Source organism: Homo sapiens, chromosome 6, assembly GCF_000001405.40.
Source record: "Homo sapiens chromosome 6, GRCh38.p14 Primary Assembly".
NCBI classification, from domain to species: Eukaryota; Metazoa; Chordata; class Mammalia; order Primates; family Hominidae; genus Homo; species Homo sapiens.
In genome coordinates this window covers 65,374,534-65,398,063 of record NC_000006.12, presented here as the reverse complement: position 1 = coordinate 65,398,063, position 23,530 = coordinate 65,374,534, and the positions used below count along the sequence as shown (strand labels likewise).

Genomic DNA, 23,530 nt, shown 5'->3' with positions numbered 1-23,530 from the left:
TTTTTAAAAGAAGATATAAAAGCAGCCAAAAAACATATAAAAAATGCTCAACATCTTTAATCATCAGATAAATACAAATTAAAACCACAGTGAGATGCCATTTTACACCAGTCAGAATGGTTATTACTAAAAAGTCAAGAAACAACAGATGTTGGCAAGGATGCAGAGAGAAGGGTATGCTTACACACTGTTGATAGAAAAATAAATTAGTACATCTCTATAGAAAACAGTATGAAGATTTCTCAAAGAGCTAAAAATAGAATTACCATTTTATCCAGCAATGCTACTACTGGATATCTAGCCAAAAGAAAAGGAATCATTATATCAAAATAGCACCTGCACTCATATGTTTATCACAGTACAATTCACAATAGCAAAGTCATGGAATCAGCCTAAGTGTCCATCAATGGATGACTGGATTAAAAACATGATACACACACACACACACACACACACACACACACACACACACACACACACCATGAAATACAACTTAGCCACCCAAAATAATAAAATCATGTCTTTGCAGTAGCACGGATGGAACTGGAGACCATTATCATAAGTGAAATGACTCGGAACCAGAAAGTAAAAAACCTAATCTTTTCACTTATAAGTGGAAACTAGACAATGGGTACACATTGACATACAGGGTAAAATAATAGATATTGGAGACTCTAAAAGGTGGGATGGTGGGAGAGGGTGTAAGAATGAAATATGAACTATTGGGTAAAATGTTCACTATTCGGGTTATGGGTACACTAAAAGCCCAGACTTCACCGCTATGTAATATACCCATGTTAAAATAACAAAAAACAAGCAAACAAACAAAAAACTGCACTTGTAGTCTCTAAATGTAAAATAAATAAATAAATAAAAGAGGTTAGCTTAGAAAAAATAAAAATACAACAGGAAACTCAATGAAATTACCTCACATTGAACCCAGATAGGAACATGAGAAGGTTTTCGACTGAGACTTGGGACACTCATATTTGAGGGAGTTAATGGATTAGAACATGAGATTTAAAAGGACTCCATGAGTTAGGATGATAAAAATACAGACAATTATTAGAGAAGCTAATAAACTGGCAACTAAGGAAAGTTCAAAATAGTTTATATTTAGATAGTAGTAGAAATGGGTTGGGATATAGGGCACAAGCAGAAGAGTTAGCTTAGATAGGATGGCAGATGTTAAATGAATTGTAATAGAAGAAAAAATAGAATAGGTTGCTTTGAATGTGTGGTTGTTGAATCATTTGGAAAGTGTCTTCTGATGGCTCTGTTACTCAAGTGAAATAAGCAAAAATGTCTAATGAAATAGTAATCCAAGTGAGTATGAGGAAAATAGAGTATTACTGATATGCTACAGCATCTCCTTGAAGTTAGCGAACATGGATTTAAAGTAAGTTCAGCCTACAATAATATGTGTCAATCTCAAACCAAGTGTAATTTACTCATATACCCGTCAGAAATAGCTAGGGTGTTGAATTAAAGTAGGGTCGAGCTTTATCAGGCTATGACAATGGAGGGGAAAGAGTGATTTAAGGGTGTATGCAATTAGTGATTATAGAAGTAAAAGGTGTAATCTAATTCACACAAGGAGGCAACAGAGAGTATGATGGGGATGACAGACACTGAAGATTGGTAGGGTCAATGGATTGTGGGATGGAATAAACGTTGGGGGAGAAAAGGACTACAAGGAGTAAATTAGAAAGAGAAATGAGGCCGTGCATAGAATATAAAATACTTAACATTAAGATTATGTAAGTTAACATTGAGAAGATGATGTAGTTATATATTATGGTAGTATAGAGCATACTAGAGTAGGAGTAGATTGTAGAGTTAGAGGGAAGATTCAGATCTTTGAGTTGAGACAGTATGCTCCTAGGAGATGCTAATGTTGCAAATAAATAAACTTTGCAGATATTGAAATAATGAAGGCACTTAGGTGTTCTCCATGCCTTGGCTATTGTGATAAAGAGGATGTGATGTGTTTGCATGTGTATGCATGTAATATTACACAGCCACATAAAGAAGGAAATTTTGTCATCTGCGGCAGCATGGATGAATGTTGAGGGCATTATGCTAAGTGAAATGAATCAGCCAGATAAAGACAAACACTGTATCATCTAACTAATATGTAAAATTTTTAAAAGTCAAAGTCATAGAAACAGAATACTGGTTTTCAGGCAATTGGGGTTGAGAGAAATGGGGGGTGTTCAAAGGGTTATAATATTGTATATTTCAGTAGAGTTAGAAGGGAGAACTTGAAATGTTTCCAAGACATAGAAATAGTAAATACTTGAAGTGATGGATGCCCTAAATCTGACTTGATTATCACACATTCTCAGCATGAAACAAAACATCACGTGTATCTCATAAATATGTACAAACAGTATTTATCAATAAAAAAATAAAGACGAAAAAGATGAATAACTTCTGGGGAATTAATGTTCAAGGTAATGACTATAGCTAAAAATGAGGCATTGCATACTTGAAATTTGCTAAGAGAATAGATCTTACCTGCTATCCCCCACATATACAAATGATAACTGTGCAAGGTGACAGATATGTTAACTAAGGATAATCATTTCACACTATATAATATACCAAGTCATTATCACACTTTACACTTTAAATTTGTACAACTTTGTCAATTATGCTTCGATAAAGTTGGAAAAAAATAGCAAAGTAAGGTTGAGATTGCTGGGCGCAGTGGCTCACGCCTGTAATCCCAGCACTTTGGGAGGCTGAGACGGGAGGATCACCTGAGGTTGGGAGTTCAAGACCAGCTTGACCAACATGGAGAAACCCCATCTCTACTAAAAATACAAAATTAGCCGGGCATGGTGGCGCATGCCTTTAATCCTAGCTACTTGGGAGGCTGAGGCAGGAGAATCAATAGAATCTGGGAGGCAGAGGTTGCGGTGAGCTAAGATCGCGCCATTGCACTCCGGCCTGGGCCACAAGAGCGAAACTCTGTCTCAAAACAGACAGACAAACAAATAAAGTAAGGTTGGGATTACATTAGAGAAAGATATAACATGTCAGAGGTTAAATGTTAAAGAATTAGAGGGGATGCTCAGGAAGGTTGGCTATGACTATGACAGGAGAAGATATGGGTAGCATGGTTTGATGGCATCATCTTGAAATAAGTAAAGCTTTTAAGGAAGAGGACGGGACATGAGGAAAAGATGAAGACAACTATACAACATGTAGACATTGGGCTGTGAGAGAAGAGGGAGAAAGAATAACCACCACTTGAGAGTTTACAGTCAAAGGAAAGAGATTCCTAAGAAGAATATGAAAGAAGTGTACAGAGCTGCTTGGGGGAAAAGAACCACACAGTGAGGGATGACTTGGAAACCACTGGCTTCCTGGGATATCTGAGGTAATGGTAAAAAGGGATTAATTTTAATGGCCTCAAAGGTAGATCATAGTGGGTTGATTGTGAGTGTTGGCATAAAGTTAATAGTGCTGGGTTCTCTCAGGAGCTCACAGAGCTCGATAGACATTTGGAAATTTCTCCAAAGGCAGTGCTACAGCTACAGGACTCTGTGCTGCACTTCACTTACACAGGTGGCAGTGTCCACGGCGCTACAGGACACAGCTCCACTGATGCTTCCTAGGGTCTCTGATCACCTCTTGGATGGAGGTTCATGAGTAGAGAAGGGAAAGTCATTGTGACCTGACATGTAGGTTTCTGAATTCTCCACCATACTTCCCACTTTTGTAGAGTAGAAAGTGTTTATTCACCAAAATCACTTAATGGCTTTGAAGATTATCATGAACTACATTATTAATACTGCCATTTTGCACACACACACACACACACGTGCGCACATACACACACACTAATTTTTACTGAATGCAATGACTCCAATATTCTCAACATATCAGGAGGATCAAATTTTTACTATTTAGAGTAAAATGAGGAAATGAGCCAGGAAATAAAGTTTTGTTAAACCAGCTGGTGTCTTTCTCATAAAAATTTTTCAAGTCTGAAAATCAACTATTTAACCAAATTAATTGGGAGAAAACTTTGTAAAATATGCCACTGACTAAATATTAGAGAAATATGAATACTATGTTTTTAAAAATCAGAAATGTTGTGATATAGAGAATTTTGCTTTCTAAGCCTTTTATTTTCTCCTCCAAAATTCTGAGATATTTCAACGATAATGATATTCTCTTTTATATTCTCAGCTTATTGTGTTTTTTTTTGTTTTCTACTCACTGGATTTAGATTATTATAACTTACACTACTTAAATTTCAATTTGATGTATTAACATAACTTCCCCCACCCCCATCCCCAAGTCAGCTTCAGCATTTATTTTATTTGGCTTGTGATAAATCTCACCACATCAGTCATGGGTAAAGTTAAGGTTTTCAGTTTATGTCACAAATATAACTAAGGTTTTCAGTTTATGTCACAAATATAACTAACTAAGTATGCACTGTGACTATGAAATAAGACACTGCATTTGCAGAAATGCATAGGTTGACATATTTCAACATATAATAAAATTATATTTTCTTATTAATTTTGAAAAATGATTTTTAAAATAGCAATCACATATTTGCATGAGGAATGTATTAATTAATGGAATGCTTCCACTTGGTCACTCAATAATTTTCAACAGGAAAGCTTAATCTTTTGGAGTTAATTATCTCAAAAGCTGGGCTGCTATATTTTTCTTTGCTTGAAATCAATAGTCACATTTATAAGGCTAATTTTTTTAAATTATATTTTAAGTTTTAGGGTACATGTGCACAATGTACAGGTTAGTTACGTATGTATACATGTGCCATGCTGGTGCGCTGCACCCACTAACTCATCATCTAGCATTAGGTATATCTCCCAATGCTATCCCTCCCCCGTCCCCCCACCCCACAACAGTCCCCAGAGTGTGATGTTCCCCTTCCTGTGTCCATGTGTTCTCATTGTTCAATTCCCACCTATGAGTGAGAACATGTGGTGTTTGGTTTTTTGTTCTTGCCATAGTTTACTGAGAATGATGATTTCCAATTTCATCCATGTCTCTACAAAGGACATGAACTCATCATTTTTTATGGCTGCATAGTATTCCATGGTGTATATGTGACACATTTTCTTAATCCAGTCTATCATTGTTGGACATTTGGGTTAGTTCCAAGTCTTTGCTATTGTGAATAATGCCGCAATAAACATATGTGTGCATGTGTCTTTATAGCAGCATGATTTATATTCCTTTGGGTATATACCCAGTAATGGGATGGCTGGGTCAAATGGTATTTCTAGTTCCAGATCCCTGAGGAATCGCCACACTGACTTCCACAATGGTTGAACTAGTTTACAGTCCCACCAACAGTGTAAAAGTGTTCCTATTTCTCCACATCCTCTCCATTACCTGTTGTTTCCTGACTTTTTAATGATTGCCATTCTAACTGGTGTGAGATGGTATCTCATTGTGGTTTTGATTTGCATTTCTCTGATGGCCAGTGATGGTGAGCATTTTTTCATGTGTCTTTTGCCTGCACAAATGTCTTCTTTTGAGAAGTGTCTTTTCATATCCTTCTCCCACTTTTTGATGGGGTTGTTTGTTGTTTTCTTGTAAATTTGTTTGAGTTCATTGTAGATTCTGGATATTAGCCCTTTGTCAGATGAGTAGATTGCGAAAATTTTCTCCCATTTTGTTGCTTGCCTGTTCACTCTGATGGTAGTTTCTTTTGCTGTGCAGAAGCTCTTTAGTTTAATTAGATCCCATTTGTCAATTTTGGCTTTTGTTGCCATTGCTTTTGGTGTTTTAGACATGAAGTCCTTGCCCATGCCTATGTCCTGAATGGTAATGCCTAGGTTTTCTTCTAGGGTTTTTATGGTTTTAGGTCTAACGTTTAAGTCTTTAATCCATCTTGAATTGATTTTTGTATAAGGTGTAAGGAAGGGATCCAGTTTCAGCTTTCTCCATATGGCTAGCCAGTTTCCCCAGCACCATTTATTAAATAGGGAATCCTTTCCCCATTGCTTGTTTCTCTCAGGTTTGTCAAAGATCAGATAGTTGTAGATATGCGGCGTTATTTCTGAGGGCTCTGTTCTGTTCCATTGATCTATATCTCTGTTTTGGTACCAGTACCATGCTGTTTTGGTTACTATAGCCTTGTAGTATAGTTTGAAGTCAGGTAGCGTGATGCCTCCAGCTTTGTTCTTTTGGCTTAGGATTGACTTGGCAATGCGGGCTCTTTTTTGGTTCCATATGAACTTTAAAGTAGTTTTTTCCAATTCTGTAAAGAAAGTCATTGGTAGCTTGATGGGGATGGCATTGAATCTGTAAATTACCTTGGGCAGTATGGCCATTTTCATGATATTGATTCTTCCTACCCATGAGCATGGAATATTCTTCCATTTGTTTGTATCCTCTTTTATTTCCTTGAGCGGTGGTTTGTAGTTCTCCTTGAAGAGGTCCTTCACATCCCTTGTAAGTTGGAATCCTAGGTATTTTATTCTCTTTGAAGCAATTGTGAATGGGAGTTCACCCATGATTTGGCTCTCTGTTTGCCTGTTGTTGGTGTATAAGAATGCTTGTGATTTTTGTACATTGATTTTGCATCCTGAGACTTTGCTGAAGTTGCTTGTCAGCTTAAGGAGGTTTTGGGCTGAGACAATGGGGTTTTTTTGAATCAATCATTCTGAAATTTAACATAGGGAAAAGTTTTTTAAAGTTTAAATATAGTTTTTAACTTCAGTTTCTGGTCATAAACTATATAACTATTAAAAATATCTAGGACATTGTTGCCATTTTCTCATCAAGAGTAGCTTTTGCTACTATTAGTACAACTTTACATTCTGCAATATTGTTATAGGGGACAGGAGGTATCCTGTAATCTGGCCCCCTAAATGCCTCATTTAAGAACATATGTTCTCATCAGTATAAACTTTCTTCCTTCCTTCAATGTATTAATTTCCATATAAAAAATAATAAGTACAGACATGTGCAGATAAAATTTGAATTAACATCATGAAATCTTTAAGTCTTCCTGGCATACCTGATTAAAGGAACCTTAGCCCCATAATGCTTTGCACAACCTCCAATATTTGTTAATATCCAGTATTCTTCCACTGTGCCCTCTGTATCTCATTTTGTCCACAGAATATTTTCCAAGTATCCACAATGTATTTTTTTTTCTTTATTTTTTTATTTTTTAGAGACGGGGTCTCATGTTTTCACCCAGGCTGGCATGTAGTGTTGTGAACCAAGCTCATGTCAGTCTCAACCTCCTGGGCTCAAGCAATCCTCTCATCTCAGCCTCCCAAGTAACCGAGTAGCTGGGGCTATTCACCTGGCTAATTTTTTGAAAAAAAGAAATTGTGGATATGGGGTCTTACTATGTTGCCCAGGCTGGTCTGGAACTCTTGGAGTCAAGCGATCCTCCTGCCTCAGCCTCCCAAAGTGCTGGGATTACAGATATAAGCCACCATGCCCAGCCCACAATATTTTTTCTACACTTTCTTTTTTTTTTCTCACTGAAACCTGAGGACAGTTTTTCTTGTAGCCTTCTGAGTTGGTCACTATTCATTCTTCTACAGTTGTGTACCACAAGCAGTGAAGTGTATAGACAGCGTTGCCCTTGTTGCCATATCCAAACCATTTTTTCCCTTCTCCTTCTGAAAACCCTAGCCAGCAGCTGTATCCTCTCTCTCTCTCTGACTCTCTCTCCCCCTCCCCCTCTCCCTGGCTCCTTTTCTAGTAGCTTTTCTCTCAGTTTCTGCTTATCCTTTACTAAATGTTTTAGCATCTAGTTTGCTGACCTTTTCTTTATCACCACTGTGGTCATATTTTTTGATAACTTTGGTATCCCTCTTGGAAATCCACTCACTTTGGTTGTTTAAATTTTTTGATAATTATTTTGCTAATTTCCCCCTCTCCTTCACCTCAGTCCATCTCCCATGGTCTTATCCTATAAGTTATCATGCCTGTAATTGCACACCCTGAAATACCTTTAATTTAAATTCTTTCACTCTCTGATCCCCACTTCCTGTATTTCAAGTTCACTCACTCATGTACTGTAATGACAAAATTTCATAAATTTTTAAAAAAGCAACAGGACCTCCAATTATATGACTACATTGACATTCCTGTGTCTAGTACCCCCTGCAGGTCCCCATTTTCTTTTAAAAAACATACTTACACATCCACTTTCAAATTCCTTGATTCTCTTTTTCTATGTTCCATTGACCTGAAAACACCAAACCTGTTTAATTCTCATCCTACCGTTAAACTCTTGTCCATTTTATATATATCTAATATAGAAGCTCAAACTTAATGTATTCCAAATTCATAATTGATTACTGAGCCCTGAACAAAGCTTCTTTTCTGCCAGTATTCATTTACATTACTCTTTGATTTCTTCTTTTCTCTCTTTTGACACGTCTTGTCCATCAACAAATCCTTTAAACCCTCCCATAACTACATATCATGGATATGAACACTTTTATCATTAGGAATGTTAACACCCTTGTTCAAGCCAAATTCTCAGCTGGAACATTTCAATAGCCTCCCTCTTGACCTCATTGTTTTGAACCTTCATTCAGGTACATGTCAAATAGTGAATGGAAGTCTCATCAAAAAAGCTAATATTTTGGCGGAGATTTGAATGATGCGAGGGAATGTGCAGCTGTCTAAGGGAAGAGTGTTCATGGCAGAGGGAGTACCTATTGCAAAATCCTTGGCCTATTCAGGCCCTATCCATGCATGAGTCCAGTCTAACTGCTCTGGAGAAAGCAAGGGAAGTAGCAGAAATGAAGTTAGAAGAGAAACCAGAATCTGGGGCAGCTTTAGATCATGAATGCCTTTGTAAAGTCCTTCATTTTCACTCTAAGTACAATGGCAAGTATTGCAGTGTTGCTGGCAAATGAGTTACTTTATTTGGTTTATATTTTTAAATTGTTGTGTGACTGTTGTTTTGAAAGGAAACTGTACAGACACAAGGGCACATGCAAAGAGACCTGTTAATAAGCTATTATAGTAATTACAGTATAGTAAACTGGGTAGGACAGTGACTTAGATTAGAATTGGAGAGAGGGCATAATAAGAAGGGGTTGGATTGTGGATGTATATTTAAGATGGAGTCAATACAATGTTTCTTTAGAGCGGATTGAATGAGAAAGAAAAAGAACAAATATATTGGCTCTATAGTTTTTGACCTGAGAAACTAGAAAACAGATTGTGATTATTTTAGATGCTGAAAGTTACAGGTAAAGTAACTGTAAAATAGTTTGCTTGTTTATCATTTTTTATCCACAAAAAAGAATATATATGTTTTAAAATCATGTTATTCCTCTGCCAATGCCATTCAGGGGGTTCCCGTGCATTAATAAAACCTAAAGTATTTTAAATGCTTACAAGGTGAGCCATATTTTCCTCCTGCCTATCTCTCTGCCACCATCTCCTACTAAGTCACCACTTTGGTCTTTGAGATGTTTCCTGAATATCTCAAGGACCTCTTGCTTCAATCCTTGGTATTTGCCTTTCCCTTTTCTGAAGTGCACATTTCCCAGACAGCACAGTAGCAATTTGTACACTTCCTTCAGCCATTCACTCAAATATTATCTCCTCAAAGATGTCTTTCCTGTTGATCCTGACACAGCCTTGAAATACCTCTTCTCAATTTCTCCCTCCACTTTTATCGGTTTTAATTTATTAATTATATAGCACCTCTCCCTATCTGTCACTATACTCATGTATTTATAATTTTCTCTCCCTTCCCCATAAACTAATGTATAATAAGGCAGAGGAGTTGCTGTTTTAATAGGTTTAATACTAGCTTTCTATATTCTAGGATAGAGGTATAGCATGTTAATTTTAATTATCAAATACAGATGGTTTTGTCTAAGATTCTTATTTTCATCTTTAAATCACTTTTACATCTGAATTATTTGCTTCCTGAAATCCAGGCAGTGACCTTGTTGCTCAGTTTATGCTTAAAAGATAAATTCATCATATGAAGTAGTCCATAGGTCTGGACATTTGTCTATGCCCACACAAGTCACAGTATGTAAGCATGCAATAGTATTGCAAAGATTCTATTATAAGAATAAATCTTAATTTACTTCAAAGGGTTTTTTGCCCAAGTAGCGGAATAGGTTCAATGACAGCATTGAAACTGATACAAGTAACTTTCCATCAGAATCCCCATGTATGCATGATGAAACCAAAGAGACAAATGTGAACTACAATGCTTTAAGACAAAAATTACAACTTAAACATTATAAAAATTACAAATATAACTGTTCATTTCCTGGAAAAAAATGTATCAAAAGTTGATTCCAAGTTTACAAACAAGTGATGAGAGTATTTCAAGTTACCACAGCAGAGAAAACTATCTGAAGTTAGTTTATAACTATCTCCTTTCCATTTACTAGAATAGTATAGAATTTGAAAAAGCTATTTCAGCAGCTAGAAAACTTTAAGCAAAAGTATACTTCCAATTTGAAGTTAACTCTTTAAAAAATATTTTTTCTAATTTTTTGCTTTATGAAATTATTATTTTAATACAGTAATAATTTTTACTGTTAGTAAAATATTGAACATTTTATTTTTAATTATATTAAATTTATGGGCTTTTCTTAATATTTTGAAAAAATACATTTTGAAACCTATTTAAAATGTAGTAAATATTGTTTCACTGATTTTTATCTTATAAATTAACTTTAAAAATAAATAGCAGTTATAAATACTAGTAGTTCTGTATTACATAAAACATTTACCAAAATGCTGGTGATGGAATTTTGTTCTGATATTGCTGTCCCTACTCTATTCATGCTGTGTTCCCAACAGTGCCTGACACTTCTCATTAAAATCAGTAGTGTGCATTCCATAGGTCACTGGACAAGTTTGGAATGCTATGTCCAAGAAATAAAGCTAATTAACTAATGAATGTTGGCTTTATTGGCAAAAGGAAACCTAATAATAGAAAGATATTTAAATCAGTGGTAAGAAATCATTTTAGGAAGGAAAAAGTAAAAGAGGATAAGAGTATTGTTTTTGTCTCCTCTTTTCCACTATTATATTTTATTTTCATTATTTTTTTTCCTTCCCTTTCATGTATCTTCACAGATCCTCGCTGCTTTCCTATGTATCATTTCCCATTTTACCACTAAAATGACACCTTAAATATTTCCATCACAATCCTGAGGTTACCCTTACCCTAAAGTCTCAAAATAGTTTTACATAAAAACAAACTATAAATTGGACATTTTAGAAACACGGTAATCTGAAAGGTCTTCCTTTTCTCTCCCCCTGTATTTAAAACAATTGGCCTCTGACTAAAATGGCTGCTGGACACCTAGAGTAGCTCAAATTAGTTAGCTATAAGTCTCTCTGAGCATTTCAACAGAAGTTAATGCACTTTTGTAAACACATTTATTAAAAAGGTCCATGTTGTTCCAGAGTTTGCTTTTGTTTACTTTGCTTTTGTTTTCTCTGTTTTACATTCTTAAATGTCAAGGCTACTATTGAAACTTTCTTTTTCCTTGACAGCAGGCTGAGTTGATAGGATGACATTTTTCTTATGAGTAAGACTTGGAAGTGCTTCTTAGATTTCAAGCCATCACTGGGAGTGGGGGATTGGAGATGATTGCCTGAAACTCAGTAGGAAAGTTTTCCCTTTTTGAAAAAAAAAACTTTAAAGTTCAGGGATACAAGCGCATGTTTCTTACATAGGTAAACTTGGGTCATGGGGATTTGTTGTGCAGATTATTTTATCATCCAGGTATTAAGCCTAGTACACATTAGTCCTCCGCCTTTGGGTCAAACCTCTCTGAGCCACACATTGCAGATAGTATTTGGGGGGTCTCTTACCTAGTGTGTACTGAGAGTAGAAAATCTTTGGCCTTTTTTTTTTTTTTGGATCAATAAAACCTGCTCTGTTTAGAAACACTTTCTCAGAGTTGCTGCTGCCCAGTGTTCATTCAACACCATTTGGGTCTGATTCTTCTTAGTGGCTGAATATTGGTTCTTCAATTCATAGACCTGATCCTGCTCTTTGGAAACTGCAACACAAAGTAAGCCCGAAAGTCACATGTGTCTTTAACTGCTCTTGGCCAATTCAGTCCATTCCAACTCAAAAGGAAAATTGAAACTCATCAACTTTTAGGATATGCTAAAGCTCTTCTCTTCTTCTCTATGCTATTACATGCTCATCCTCAATAGGAAGGGTTGCTACCTTTCATTAAGTTGGTATTTGGAGTGATTTCTGGATATCTAGCTAGCCCCTCAGAATGAGAGACGTAAAGTACATATATCTTACTATCTGTGGAGTAGTAGAGTAAAATACATAAAGGTCTTCATCTATGGAATAGCAGAGTAAAATAATGCACTTAAAGTTAGGACAAACTTAATTTTATTAACCACTGTAAAATTTGTAAGTAATATGGCCAAAGCAACTAATGTAATTTCCATGGGTATGTTTCCTCATTTATAAAAGTGATAAATAATAATGTATTTCACAACTTACAATAATTGAATGAGAACTTAAGAAAATTGTGTAAAAGTAATTAGCCTAGTGACTGGCATATGGTGGGTGCTGAAAAAAAGTGGATGATTATTTCTGATATGAATGGAGAAATAATTTAATTCTGCAAGATGAAAATGCAAAGCTGTGTGCCTCAAACTATAGGAAAGGTAAATTACTAAAGCATTTTATTGATGCTATTTCAGTGAAATTGTGCCAACATGGCCTTTGATCCCTTTTATGAAATTATTTTGTGTTCTTATAACAGATTTAAAATAATAAATACATAGTTAAATTCACTTCATTAATAAATCAGCTTCTACCAACTTAAAGTCATGAGAAGTCATATTTTTGGTCTTAAAATATTTGGTGTTTACATTAGAAAAAACATTCTTTCATTTGGGGTCCCATTTATTTTATAATAGAAAGTTTACTAAATATGATTTAAGGCACAGGACTGTTTCCTACAAATTAATTAGAAGTGAGGGCAGTGGAAGCCAGAACACCAGTGTGTGTTCTTTAGCAACTTATAGATTGCAGTTAATGAAATACAGTAGACTGGAATATAGATTGTTTGAAAAACAATTTTAAAAATGACAACTAACAAACAGAAGTCCTATAAGTAGCCCAACTATAACTAGACCGTTATCATCCACTGGCACTCTATCCTGTCTCAAATTCATGTAGTCATCATTAACTCCTGCTAGCACATCATCAGTATATACTGGCTCTACTAAACATTAAAAAATCACATTTGTCATGTTTTTTCTTCATATTTCACTAGTTTTCCAAAACATATACTGTATTGTTAAGTATCAGTTTAGGCCAAAGTTTATTTTATTCTTAAATTCCCAAAAGAGATCATTAAGAGCATACATTGAAAATGTAGTTTACTGTAATTCTTTCCAAATACATAAATAGGAGCTTTTTGGCTAAGATCACAGGTATGTATTAAAAAATGATTAATAATACCATATAATTTAAACAAAGCCTTATTCCTTTTGGAATAATGTTAATAGGCTTTTCTGAAAACATTTAAATTATAATTTTTCTAATTTACACTGATGTATTTACAGCTGTATATCAGGATTTACTGAAAAAAACTGTGAGAAAGCAATTGACCACTGTAAACTGCTCAGCATCAACTGTCTGAATGAAGAATGGTGTTTCAATATAATTGGAAGATTCAAAGTAAGTAATTTAATACATGGCAACATAAGTTAGCCCTTCAAAATACAATAGACTCAGTTAGTCTATATTTCAAATGCTCTTATTAATCTTAGCCAGAGAAACATATCCTTATATCTATATTTAAATGTGAGTTATGTAAAGCTTAGCAATAGGGGTTTTAATTTATAAGAATTATGTTGGGAGGGAATTAATAAATGTTCTAGGAGGTGTTTTTATTATAAAGTAAGTATAAAGCTAATTGAGGCCTGGTGATATACTTCTTAGTATATAAAACCCCAGTTACTAATACTTTAAGCTCTTTAACTAGATGAGAAATAAAATCAGTCTAGTGGTTGATTGTTAGGGTCCACAAAATATGCTTTTTTAGTGAATAGTTTTTGAAATTACTTTACAAATACAAAATGTCTGTACTACACATGGTAAGGGATATTCCACAACCTAGCAATGTTACTTGTAGGTATGTCTATTAGAGAAATTATCAGATATTTACTGAGAGAGACATACACAGGAATTTTCACTTCAAATCTGAAACTAAACCTGGTAAATAAGAGAACGGACAAATTCATCATGGTGTAGTCTCACAATGGAATTATAAAAACTAGTTAAAATGAATAGACAATAGCTATATGTATTAATACTTACAAATATAAAAATATTGAATTTTAAAATTTTATAAACTTGAGGATTACACACACCAGCTTTATCTGAAAGGCAAACTATAGGGAGGTAGATGGGAGAATGAAATCAGGGAGAGTACAAAGGGAACTTCCAATGTTTCTGCAAAGCTTTTTTTTTTCAAAAAATAATTTTTTTGAGAAATAAGACAAGAAAAATAAATACAACATGAAGATAGAATAAATAAAATGGTATGGTTTTGATAAGCATTCCTCATTACTATTCATTGGAATGCTATAAAAATTAAAAAGTAGAACTAAGAAGTTAAATATGGCAAAATTCCAGGATTCATTATAACTTTTTAGAAACCAATAGTGCTTCTGTAATATGGCAACAACTAATTAAGACATGACACTAAAAATTAATACTATAAAAGTGAAATAAAGTATGATTATAATTGTCTCAAAACACTTCAGAAAACATTTAACAAAATGTGGCTAAGATCTCTATGCTGAAAACTAAAAAAAAGATTAGAGGGAAATGGAATATGCCCTATAAATAAAGTTATAAAATATTTATGAAATAGAAAAATTAATATTTTATGATGTCCTTTCTTCTTACTGATATTAACAAATGTTTTGTAGAAATGGGTAAGCTGATTATAAAACTGATATGAAACGTCAAAGGACTTCAAATAGCTAAGCAATCAAAAATAACAGCAAATCTGAAGGATTTTACCAACCTGATTTCAAGAGTTACTTTCAAGCTAGAGTATCAAGGCAATGTGGTACTAGCATGTGATGCTTAATACTGAGGGTCAACTTGATTGGATTCAAGGATGTCAAGTATTGACCCTGGGTGTGTCTGTGAGGGTGTTGTCAAAGGAGATTAACATTTGAGTTGGTGGGCTGGGGAAGGGAGACCCACCCTTAATCTAGGTGGGCACCATCTAATCATCTGCCAGCACAGCCAAAATATAAAGCAGGCAGAAAAACATAAATAGGCTAGACAGGCTTAGCCTCCCAGCCTACATCTTTGTTCTGTGCTGGATACTTCCTGCTCTCGAACATTGGACTCCAAGTTCTTTGCTTTGGGACTCAGACTGGCTTCCTTGCTCCTCAGCTTGCAGACAGCCTACTGTGGGACCCTGTGATAGTATGAGTTAATACTCCTTAATAAACTCCCCTTTTCATATAAATCTATCCTATTAGTTCTGTCCCCCTAGAGAACCTTGACTAATACATAGCATAAGGATGAACTAGAAGAGCACACACACACACACACACACACACACACACACACACACACACACAGAGGAAAGGAGACTTCAAAGATAGATCCACGGGGAAATTTCTGTTGAATTCCCTCAGAAACACTAAGATAATTTAACTAACAAAGGAACATCTTATCACAACACACATGGAAAAAAAGTGAGTCCATATCCCCTACGTCAAACCACACAATAATTAATTTGACATGAAGCATAAACCTGAGAGTTAAAGAGAAATTTATAAAACTTCTTGAGAATAAAATGGAGCAAAAAAAAAAAAAAAAAAACACCAAAGGATGAGGTTCTTCATGACCATGTATTAGACTAAACTTTGTTAGATAGGGCACAAATTAATTGGTTTATTGAACTTAATTAAGTTTAAAAACTTCTGTGCATCAAAGTAATTTTTAAAAAGACAACAATAACCAGTGATTACCCACCTAAATTTATATTAGAAATAAACATAATCATAATAGAGGTATGTACTGTTCACATGAGATAATATGAAATAAAATGTCTTTATTGAAACAAAATGATGGAAAAAATTGAGAGAAATACTAACCAGAAACCAGTTGATGCCTACCTTACTTTTATGTAAAACAGACCTTAAAACTTAAAATCAGAAATCATAAAATTCTGATTTTTAAAATTCTTAAAATTAAGAAATTAATAAATCCTCTTTCATGGTGGGGTGTATTTGTTTCTTCATGCAAAACTATATGTGAGTTATATTGTTAATTTTTAAAGGGAAAGAACAAATAAAATTAGAAAATATATTGTATAGATAATCTTTAGATATAAATGAAAATAAAGGTAAATACACATTTTAAATGTTCAAACTGTCTCAAATTTTTAAATTTAATTTTATTTTGCTTTAAGTTCTGGGATAGATGTACTGAATGTAAACGTTCGTTACATTGGTATACATGTACTATGGTGGTTTGCGGCACCTATCAACCCGTCATACAGGTTTTAAGCCCCACATGCATTAGGTATTTGTCCTAATACACTCCCTCTCCTTCCTGCCACTCTGCCCGACAGGCCTCGGTGTGTGATATTTCCCTCCCTATCTCCATGTGTTCACACTGTTCAACTCCCACTTATGAGTGAGAACATGTGGTGTTTGCTTTTCTGTTCCTATGTTGCTTTGCTGAGGATGATGGTTTCCAGCTTCATCCACATCTCTGCAAAGGACATGAACTCATTCTTTTTTATGATTGCATAATATTCCATGGTGTATATGTGCCACAGTTTCTTTATCCAGCCTATCATTGATGGGCATTTGGGTTGGTCCCAAGTCTTTGCTGTTGTAAATAGTGCTGCAATAAACATACGTGTGCATGCTTCTTTATAGTAGAATGATTTATAATCATTTGGGTATATACTTAGTAATGGGATTGCTGGGTCAAATGGTATTTCTAGTTCTATATCCTTGAGGAATCACCACACTGTCTTCCACAATGGTTGAACTAATTTACACTCCCACCAAAAGTGTAAATGCATTCCTATTTCTCCGCATCCTCGCCAGCATCTATTATTTCCACGTTTTAATGATCATCATTCTAACTGGCATGAGATGGTATCTCGTTGTGGTTTGGATTTGCATTTCTCTAATGACCAGTGATGATGAGCTTTTTTTTATATGTTTGCTGGCTGCATAAATGACTTCTTTTGATGGGTGTCTGTTGATAAACTTTGCCCATTTTTTGATGAGGTTGTTTTTTTCTTGTAAATTTGTTTAACTTCCTTGTAGATTCTGGGTATTAGCCCTTTGTCAGATGGATAGTTTGCAAAATTTTTCTCCCATTCTGTAGGTTGCCTGTTCACTCTGAGGACAGTTTCTTTTGCTGAGCAGAAGCTCTTCATTTTGATTAGATCCCATTTGTCAATTTTGGCTTTTGTTGCAATTGCTTTTGGTGTTTTAGTCATGAAGTACTTGCCCATGCCTATGTCCTGAATGGTATTGCCTAGGTTTTCTTCTAGGGTTTTTATGGTTTTAAATTTTACATTTACGTCTTTAATCCACCTTTAGTTAATTTTTGTATAAGGTGTAAGGAAGAGGTCCAGTTTCAGTTTTCTGCATATGGCTAGCCAGTTTTCCCAAAACCATTTATTAAATAGGGAATTCTTTCCCCATTGCTTGTTTTTGTCATGTTTGTCAAAGCTCAGATGCTTGTAGATGTGTGGTGTTACTTCTGAATCCTTTGTTGTGTTCCATTGGTCTATATATCTATTTTGATGCCAGTACCATGCTGTTTTGGTTACTGTGTAGCCTTGCAGTATAGTTTGAAGTTAGGTAGCATGATGCCTCCAGCTTTGTTCTTTTTGCTTAGGACTGTCTTGGAAATATGGCCTTTTTTTTGTTGCATATGAAATTTAAAGTATTTTTTTCTAGTTCTGTGAAGAAAGTCGATGGAAGATTGATGGGAATAGCATTGAATCTATAAATTTCTTTGGGCAGTATGGCCATTTTCACAATATTGATTTTTCCTGTCCATGAGCATGGAATGTTTTTTTCCATTTGTTTGTGTCATCTCTTATTTCCTTGAGCAGTGGTTTGTAGTTCTCCTTGAAGAGGTCCTTCACATCTCTTGTAAATTGTATTCCTAGGTATTTTATTCTCTTTGTAGCAATTCTCAATGGGAGTTCACTCATAATTTGCCTCTCTGCTTGTCTGTTAATGGTGTATAGGAATGCTTGTGATTTTTGCACATTGATATTGTATCCTGAGACTTTGCTGAAGTTGCATATCAGCTTAAGGAGTTGTTGGACTGAGACGATGGGGTTTTCTAAATATACAATCATGTATTCTGCAAACAGACACAACTTGACTTTCTCTCTTCCTATTTGAATACCCTTTATTTCTTTCTCTTGCTTGATTGCTCTAGCCAGAACTTCCAACATTATGTTGAACAGGAGTGGTGAGAGAGGGCATCCTTGTCTTGTGTCGGTTTTCAAAGGGAATGCTTTCAGCTTTTGCCCATTCAATATGATATTGGCTATGGGTTTGTCATAAATAGCCCTTATTATTTTGATATATGTTCCACCAACACCTAGTTTATTGAGAGTTTTTAGCATGAAGCGGTGTTGAATTTCGTCGAAGGCCTTTTCTGCATCTATTGGGATAATCATGTGGCTTTTGTCATTGGTTCTGTTTATGTGATGGATTGTGTTTATTGATTTGCATATGTTGAACTATCTTTGCATCCCATGGATAAAGCCAAATTGGTCGTGGTGGATAAGCTTTTTGATGTGCTGCTGGATTCCATTTGCCAGTATTTTATTGAGGATTTTCACGTCGAAGTTCATCAGTGATATTGGCCTGAAATTTTATTTTCTCATTGTGTCTCTTCCAGGTTTTGGAATCAGGATGATGCTGGACTCATAAAATGAGTTAGGGAGGAGTCCCTCTCTTTTTTTTCTGTTTTATTTTATTTATTTATTTTTTCTTGTTTATCTTTTTTATTATTGTACATTAAATTCTGGGGTACATGTGCAGAATGTGCAGGTTTGTTACATAAGTATACATGTGACATGGTGTTTTGCTGCACCCATCAACCTGTCATCTACATTATATATTTCTCCTAATGTTATCCCTCCACTAGTCCCCCACCCCCTGACAGGCCCCGGTGTGTGATGTTCCCCTCCCTGTCTCCATGTGTTCTCATTGTTCAACTCCCACTTATGAGTGAGAACATGTGGTGTTCGGTATTATGTTCCTGTGTTAGTTTGCTGAGAATGATGGTTTCCATCTTCATCCATGTCCCTGCAAAGAACATTAACTCATCCTTTTTTATGAATGCATAGTATTCCATGGTGTATATTTGCCACATTTTCTTTATCCAGTCTATCATTGATGGGCATTTGGGTTGGTTCCAAGTCTTTGCTATTGTGAACAGTGCCACAATAAACTTTTGTGTGCATGTGTCTTTATAGTAGAATGAATTATAATCCTTTGGATATATACCCAGTAATGGGATTGCTGGGTCAAATGTTATTTCTAGTTCCAGATCCTTGAGGAATCGCCACACTGTCTTCTACAATGATTGAACTAATTTACACTCCCACCAACAGTGTAAAAGCGTTCCTATTTCTCCACATCCTCTCCAGCATCTGTTGATTCCTGACATTTAATGATCGTCATTATAACTGCCATGAGATGGTATCTCATTGTAGTTTTGATTTGCATTTCTCTAATGACCAGTGATGATGAGCTTTTTTTCATATGTTTGTTGACTGCATAAATGTCTTCTTTTGGAGAAGTGCCTGTTCATATCCTTCACACACTTTTTGATGAGGTTGATTGTTTTTGTCTTGTAAATTTGTTTAAGTTCTTTGTACATTCTGGATATTAGCCCTTTGTCAGATGGATAGATTGCAGAACTTTTCTCCCATTCTGCAGGTTGCCTGTTCACTCTGATGATAGTTTCCTTTGCTGTGCAGAAGCTCTTTAGTTTAATTAGATCGCATTTGTCTATCTATTGTTTAGAATAGTTTCAGAAGGAATGGTCCCAGCTCCTATTTGTACCTCTGGTAGAATTCAGCTGTGAATTCGTCTGGTCCTTGGCTTTTTTTGGTTGGTAGGGTATTAATTAATGCCTCAATTTCAGAACTTTTTATTGGTCTATTCACGATTTGACTTCTTCGTGGTTTAGTTACGGATTTTCTTCCTCCTGGGAGGATGTATATGTCCAGGAATTTATCCATTTCTTCTAGATTTTCTAGTTTTTGTTTTGTTTTGTTTTTGCATAGAGGTGCTTATAGTATTCTCTGTTGGTAGTTTTTATTTCTGTGGGATCGGTGTTGATATCCCCTTTATCATTTTTTATTGTGTCTGTTTGATTTTTCTCTCTTTTCTCCTTTTTTAGACTGGCTAGTGGTCTATCTATTTTTTTAATCTTTTCAAAAGAACAGCTCCTTGATTCAATGATTTTTTGAAGGGTTTTTCATGCCTTTATCTCCTTCGGTTCTGCTCTGATCTTACTTATTTCTTGTCTTCTGCTAGCTTTTGAATTTGTTTGCTCTTGCTTCTCTATTTCTTTTAATTGTGATGTTAGGGTGTCAATTTTAGATCTTTCCTGCTTTCTGATGTGGGCATCTGGTGCTATAAATTTCCCTGTAAATAGTGCTTTAGCTCTCTCCCAGAGATTCTGGTACGTTGTCTGTTTTCATTGGTTTCAAAGAACTTTGTTGTTTCTGCCTTATTTTTGTTACTTACCCAAGAGTCATTGAGGAGCAAGTTGTTCAGTTTCCACAAAATTGTGTGGTTTTGAGTAACTTTCTTAATCCTGAGTTTTAATTTGATTACACTGTGGTCTAAGAGGCTGTTTTTTTACATTTGCATCCATTCTTTTGCATTTGTTGAGGAGTGTTTTACTTCCAATTATGTGGTTGATTTTAGAGTAAGTGCTATGTGATGCTGATAAAAATGTATATTCTGTTGATTTGATGTGGACAGTTCTGTAGATATCTACTAGGGCTGCTTGGTCCAGAGGTGAGTTCAAGTCCTGAATATCCTTGTTAATTTTCTGTCTCATTGATCTGTCTAATATTGACAGTGGAGTGTTAAAGTCTCCCACTATTACTGTGAGGGAGTCTACGTCTCTTTGTAGGCCTCTAAGAATTTATTTTTATGAATCTGGGCACTTTTGTATTGGGTGCATATATATTTAGGATAATTAGCTCTTCTTGTTGCATTGATCCCTTTACCATTATGTAATGCCCTTCTTTGTCTTTTTTGATATTTCTTGGTTTAACGTCTGTTTTATCAGAGACTAGGACTGCAACCCCTGCTTTTTTTGCTTTCCATTTGTTGGTAAATAGTCCTCCATCCCTTTATTTTGAGCCTATACATGTCTTTGCGTATGAGATGGGTCTTCTGAATGCAGTGCACCAATGGGTCTTGACTCTATCCAACTTGCCATTCTGTGTCTTTGAATTGGGGCATTTAGCCCATTTACATTTAATGTTAATATTGGTATGTGTGAATTTGATCCTGTCATTATGATGCTAGCTGGTCATTTTGCACATTAGTTGATGCAGTTTCTTCTTAGTTTCGTTGGTCTTTATATTTTAGTATGTTTTTGCAGTGGCTGGTATCAGTTTTTCCTTTCTATATTTAGTACTCCCTTCAGGAGTTCTTGTAAGTCAAGCCTGGTGGTCACAAAATCCTTCAGCGTTTGCTTGTCTGTAAAGGATTTTATTTCTCCTCCACTTATGAAACTTAGTTTGGCTGGATATGAAATTCTGGTTTGCAAAATCTTTTCTTTAAGATTGTTGACTATTGGGCACCACTCTTTTCTGGCTTGTAGGGTTTGTGCAGAGAGACCCACTGTTAATCTGATGGGCTACCCTTTGTAGGTAATCTGAACTTTCTCTCTGGCTGCCCTTAACATTTTTTCCTTTGTTTCAACCTTGGAGAATCTGAGAATTATTTGTCTTGGGGTTGCTATTCTCAAGGAGTATCTTAGTGGCATTCTCTGTATTTCTGGATTTGAATGCTGGCCTGTCTTGCTAGGTTGGGGAAGTTCTCCTGGATAATATCCTGAAGTGTTTTCCAACTTGCTTCCATTCTCCCCATGACTTTAAGGGACCCCAGTCAATCATACCTTTGGTCTTCCCATATGGTCCCATATTTCTTTGAGGCTTTGTTCGTTCTTTTTCATTCTGTTTGTTGTAATCTTGTCTTCACGCTTTATTTCATTAAGTTGATCTTCAATCTCTGATATCCTTTCTTCTGCTTGAGCAACTCAGCTATTGATACTTGTGTATGCTTCACAAAGTTCTCATGCTGTGTTTTTCAGCTCCATCCGGTCATTTATGTTCTTCTCTAAACTGGTTATTCTAGTTAGCAATTCCTGTATCCTTTTGTCAAGGTTCTTAGCTTCCTTGCATTGCTTCCTTTAGCTCAGAGGAGTTTGTTATTACCCACTTTCTGAAGCCTACTTCTGTCAGTTCATCAAACTCATTCTCTGTCCAGTTTTGTGCCCTTGCTGGAGAGGAGTCGTGATCATTTGGAGGAGAAGAAGCATTCTGGTTTTTGGAATTTTCAGCATTGTTTTGCTGGTTTTTCCTCATCTCCATGGATTTATCTACCTTTGACCTTTGAGGCTGATGACCTTTTGATGGGGTTTCTGTGTGTGGGGATCCTTTTTATTGACTTTGATGTTATTGCTTGCTGTTTGTTGGTTTTTCTTCTGATGGTCAGGCCCCTCTTCTGCAGGTCTGCTGCAGTTTGCTGGAGGTCCACTGCAGACCCTGTTTGCTTGGGTATCACCAGCAGAGGCTGAAGAACAGAAAAGATTGCTGCCTGTTCCCTCCTCTGGAAGCTTCGTCCCAGAGGGGCACCCACCAGATGCCAGCCAGAGCTCTCCCATACGAGGTGTCTGTCGACCTCTGTTGGGAGGTCTCTCACAGTCAGGAGGCACAGGGGTCAGGGAACCCACTTGAGGAGGCAGTCTATCCCTTAGCAGAGCTGGAGCGCTGTGCTGGGAGATCCACTGCTCTTTTCAGAGCTGACAGGCAGGAATGCTTAAGTCCACTGAAGCTGCGACCACAGCCGGCCCTTCCCCCAGGTTCTCTGTCCTAGGGAGGTGGGAGTTTTATTTATAATCCCCTGACTGGGGCAGCTGCCTTTCTTTCGGAGATGCCCTACCCAGTGAAGAGGAATCTAGCAAGGCAGTCTGGCTATAGCAGCTTTGCTGTGCTGTGATGCGTTCCGCCCAGTCTTTAGAAGGGTCAGGGGAAACTCTCCTACTCAAGCCTCAGTAAAGGCGGATACCCCATCCCCACCAAGTTTGATGATCCCAGGTCGACTTCAGACTGCTGTGATGGCAGTGAGAATTTCAAGCCAGTGGTTCTTAGCTTGCTGGACTTAAGGGAGTGGGACCAGCTGAGCCAGACCGCTTTGCTCCCTGGCTTCAGCCCACTTTCCAGGGGAGTAAATGGTTCTCTTTCACTGGAGTTCC

The 23,530-nt window shown here is 36.1% G+C and overlaps 1 protein-coding gene across 4 annotated transcripts in view; it reads left to right on the top strand.

The window, feature by feature from the left end:
* The window catches only part of EYS (eyes shut homolog), a 1,987,247-nt gene that overhangs the window by 309,163 nt on the left and 1,654,554 nt on the right, over positions 1-23,530 (top strand). For all 4 annotated transcript variants that reach the window (NM_001142800.2, NM_001292009.2, NM_001142801.2 and 1 more), the window contains one exon: positions 13,564-13,678. In NM_001142800.2, the coding sequence (NP_001136272.1) occupies positions 13,564-13,678 (115 nt within the window). The remainder of the gene's footprint in view (positions 1-13,563; positions 13,679-23,530) is intronic.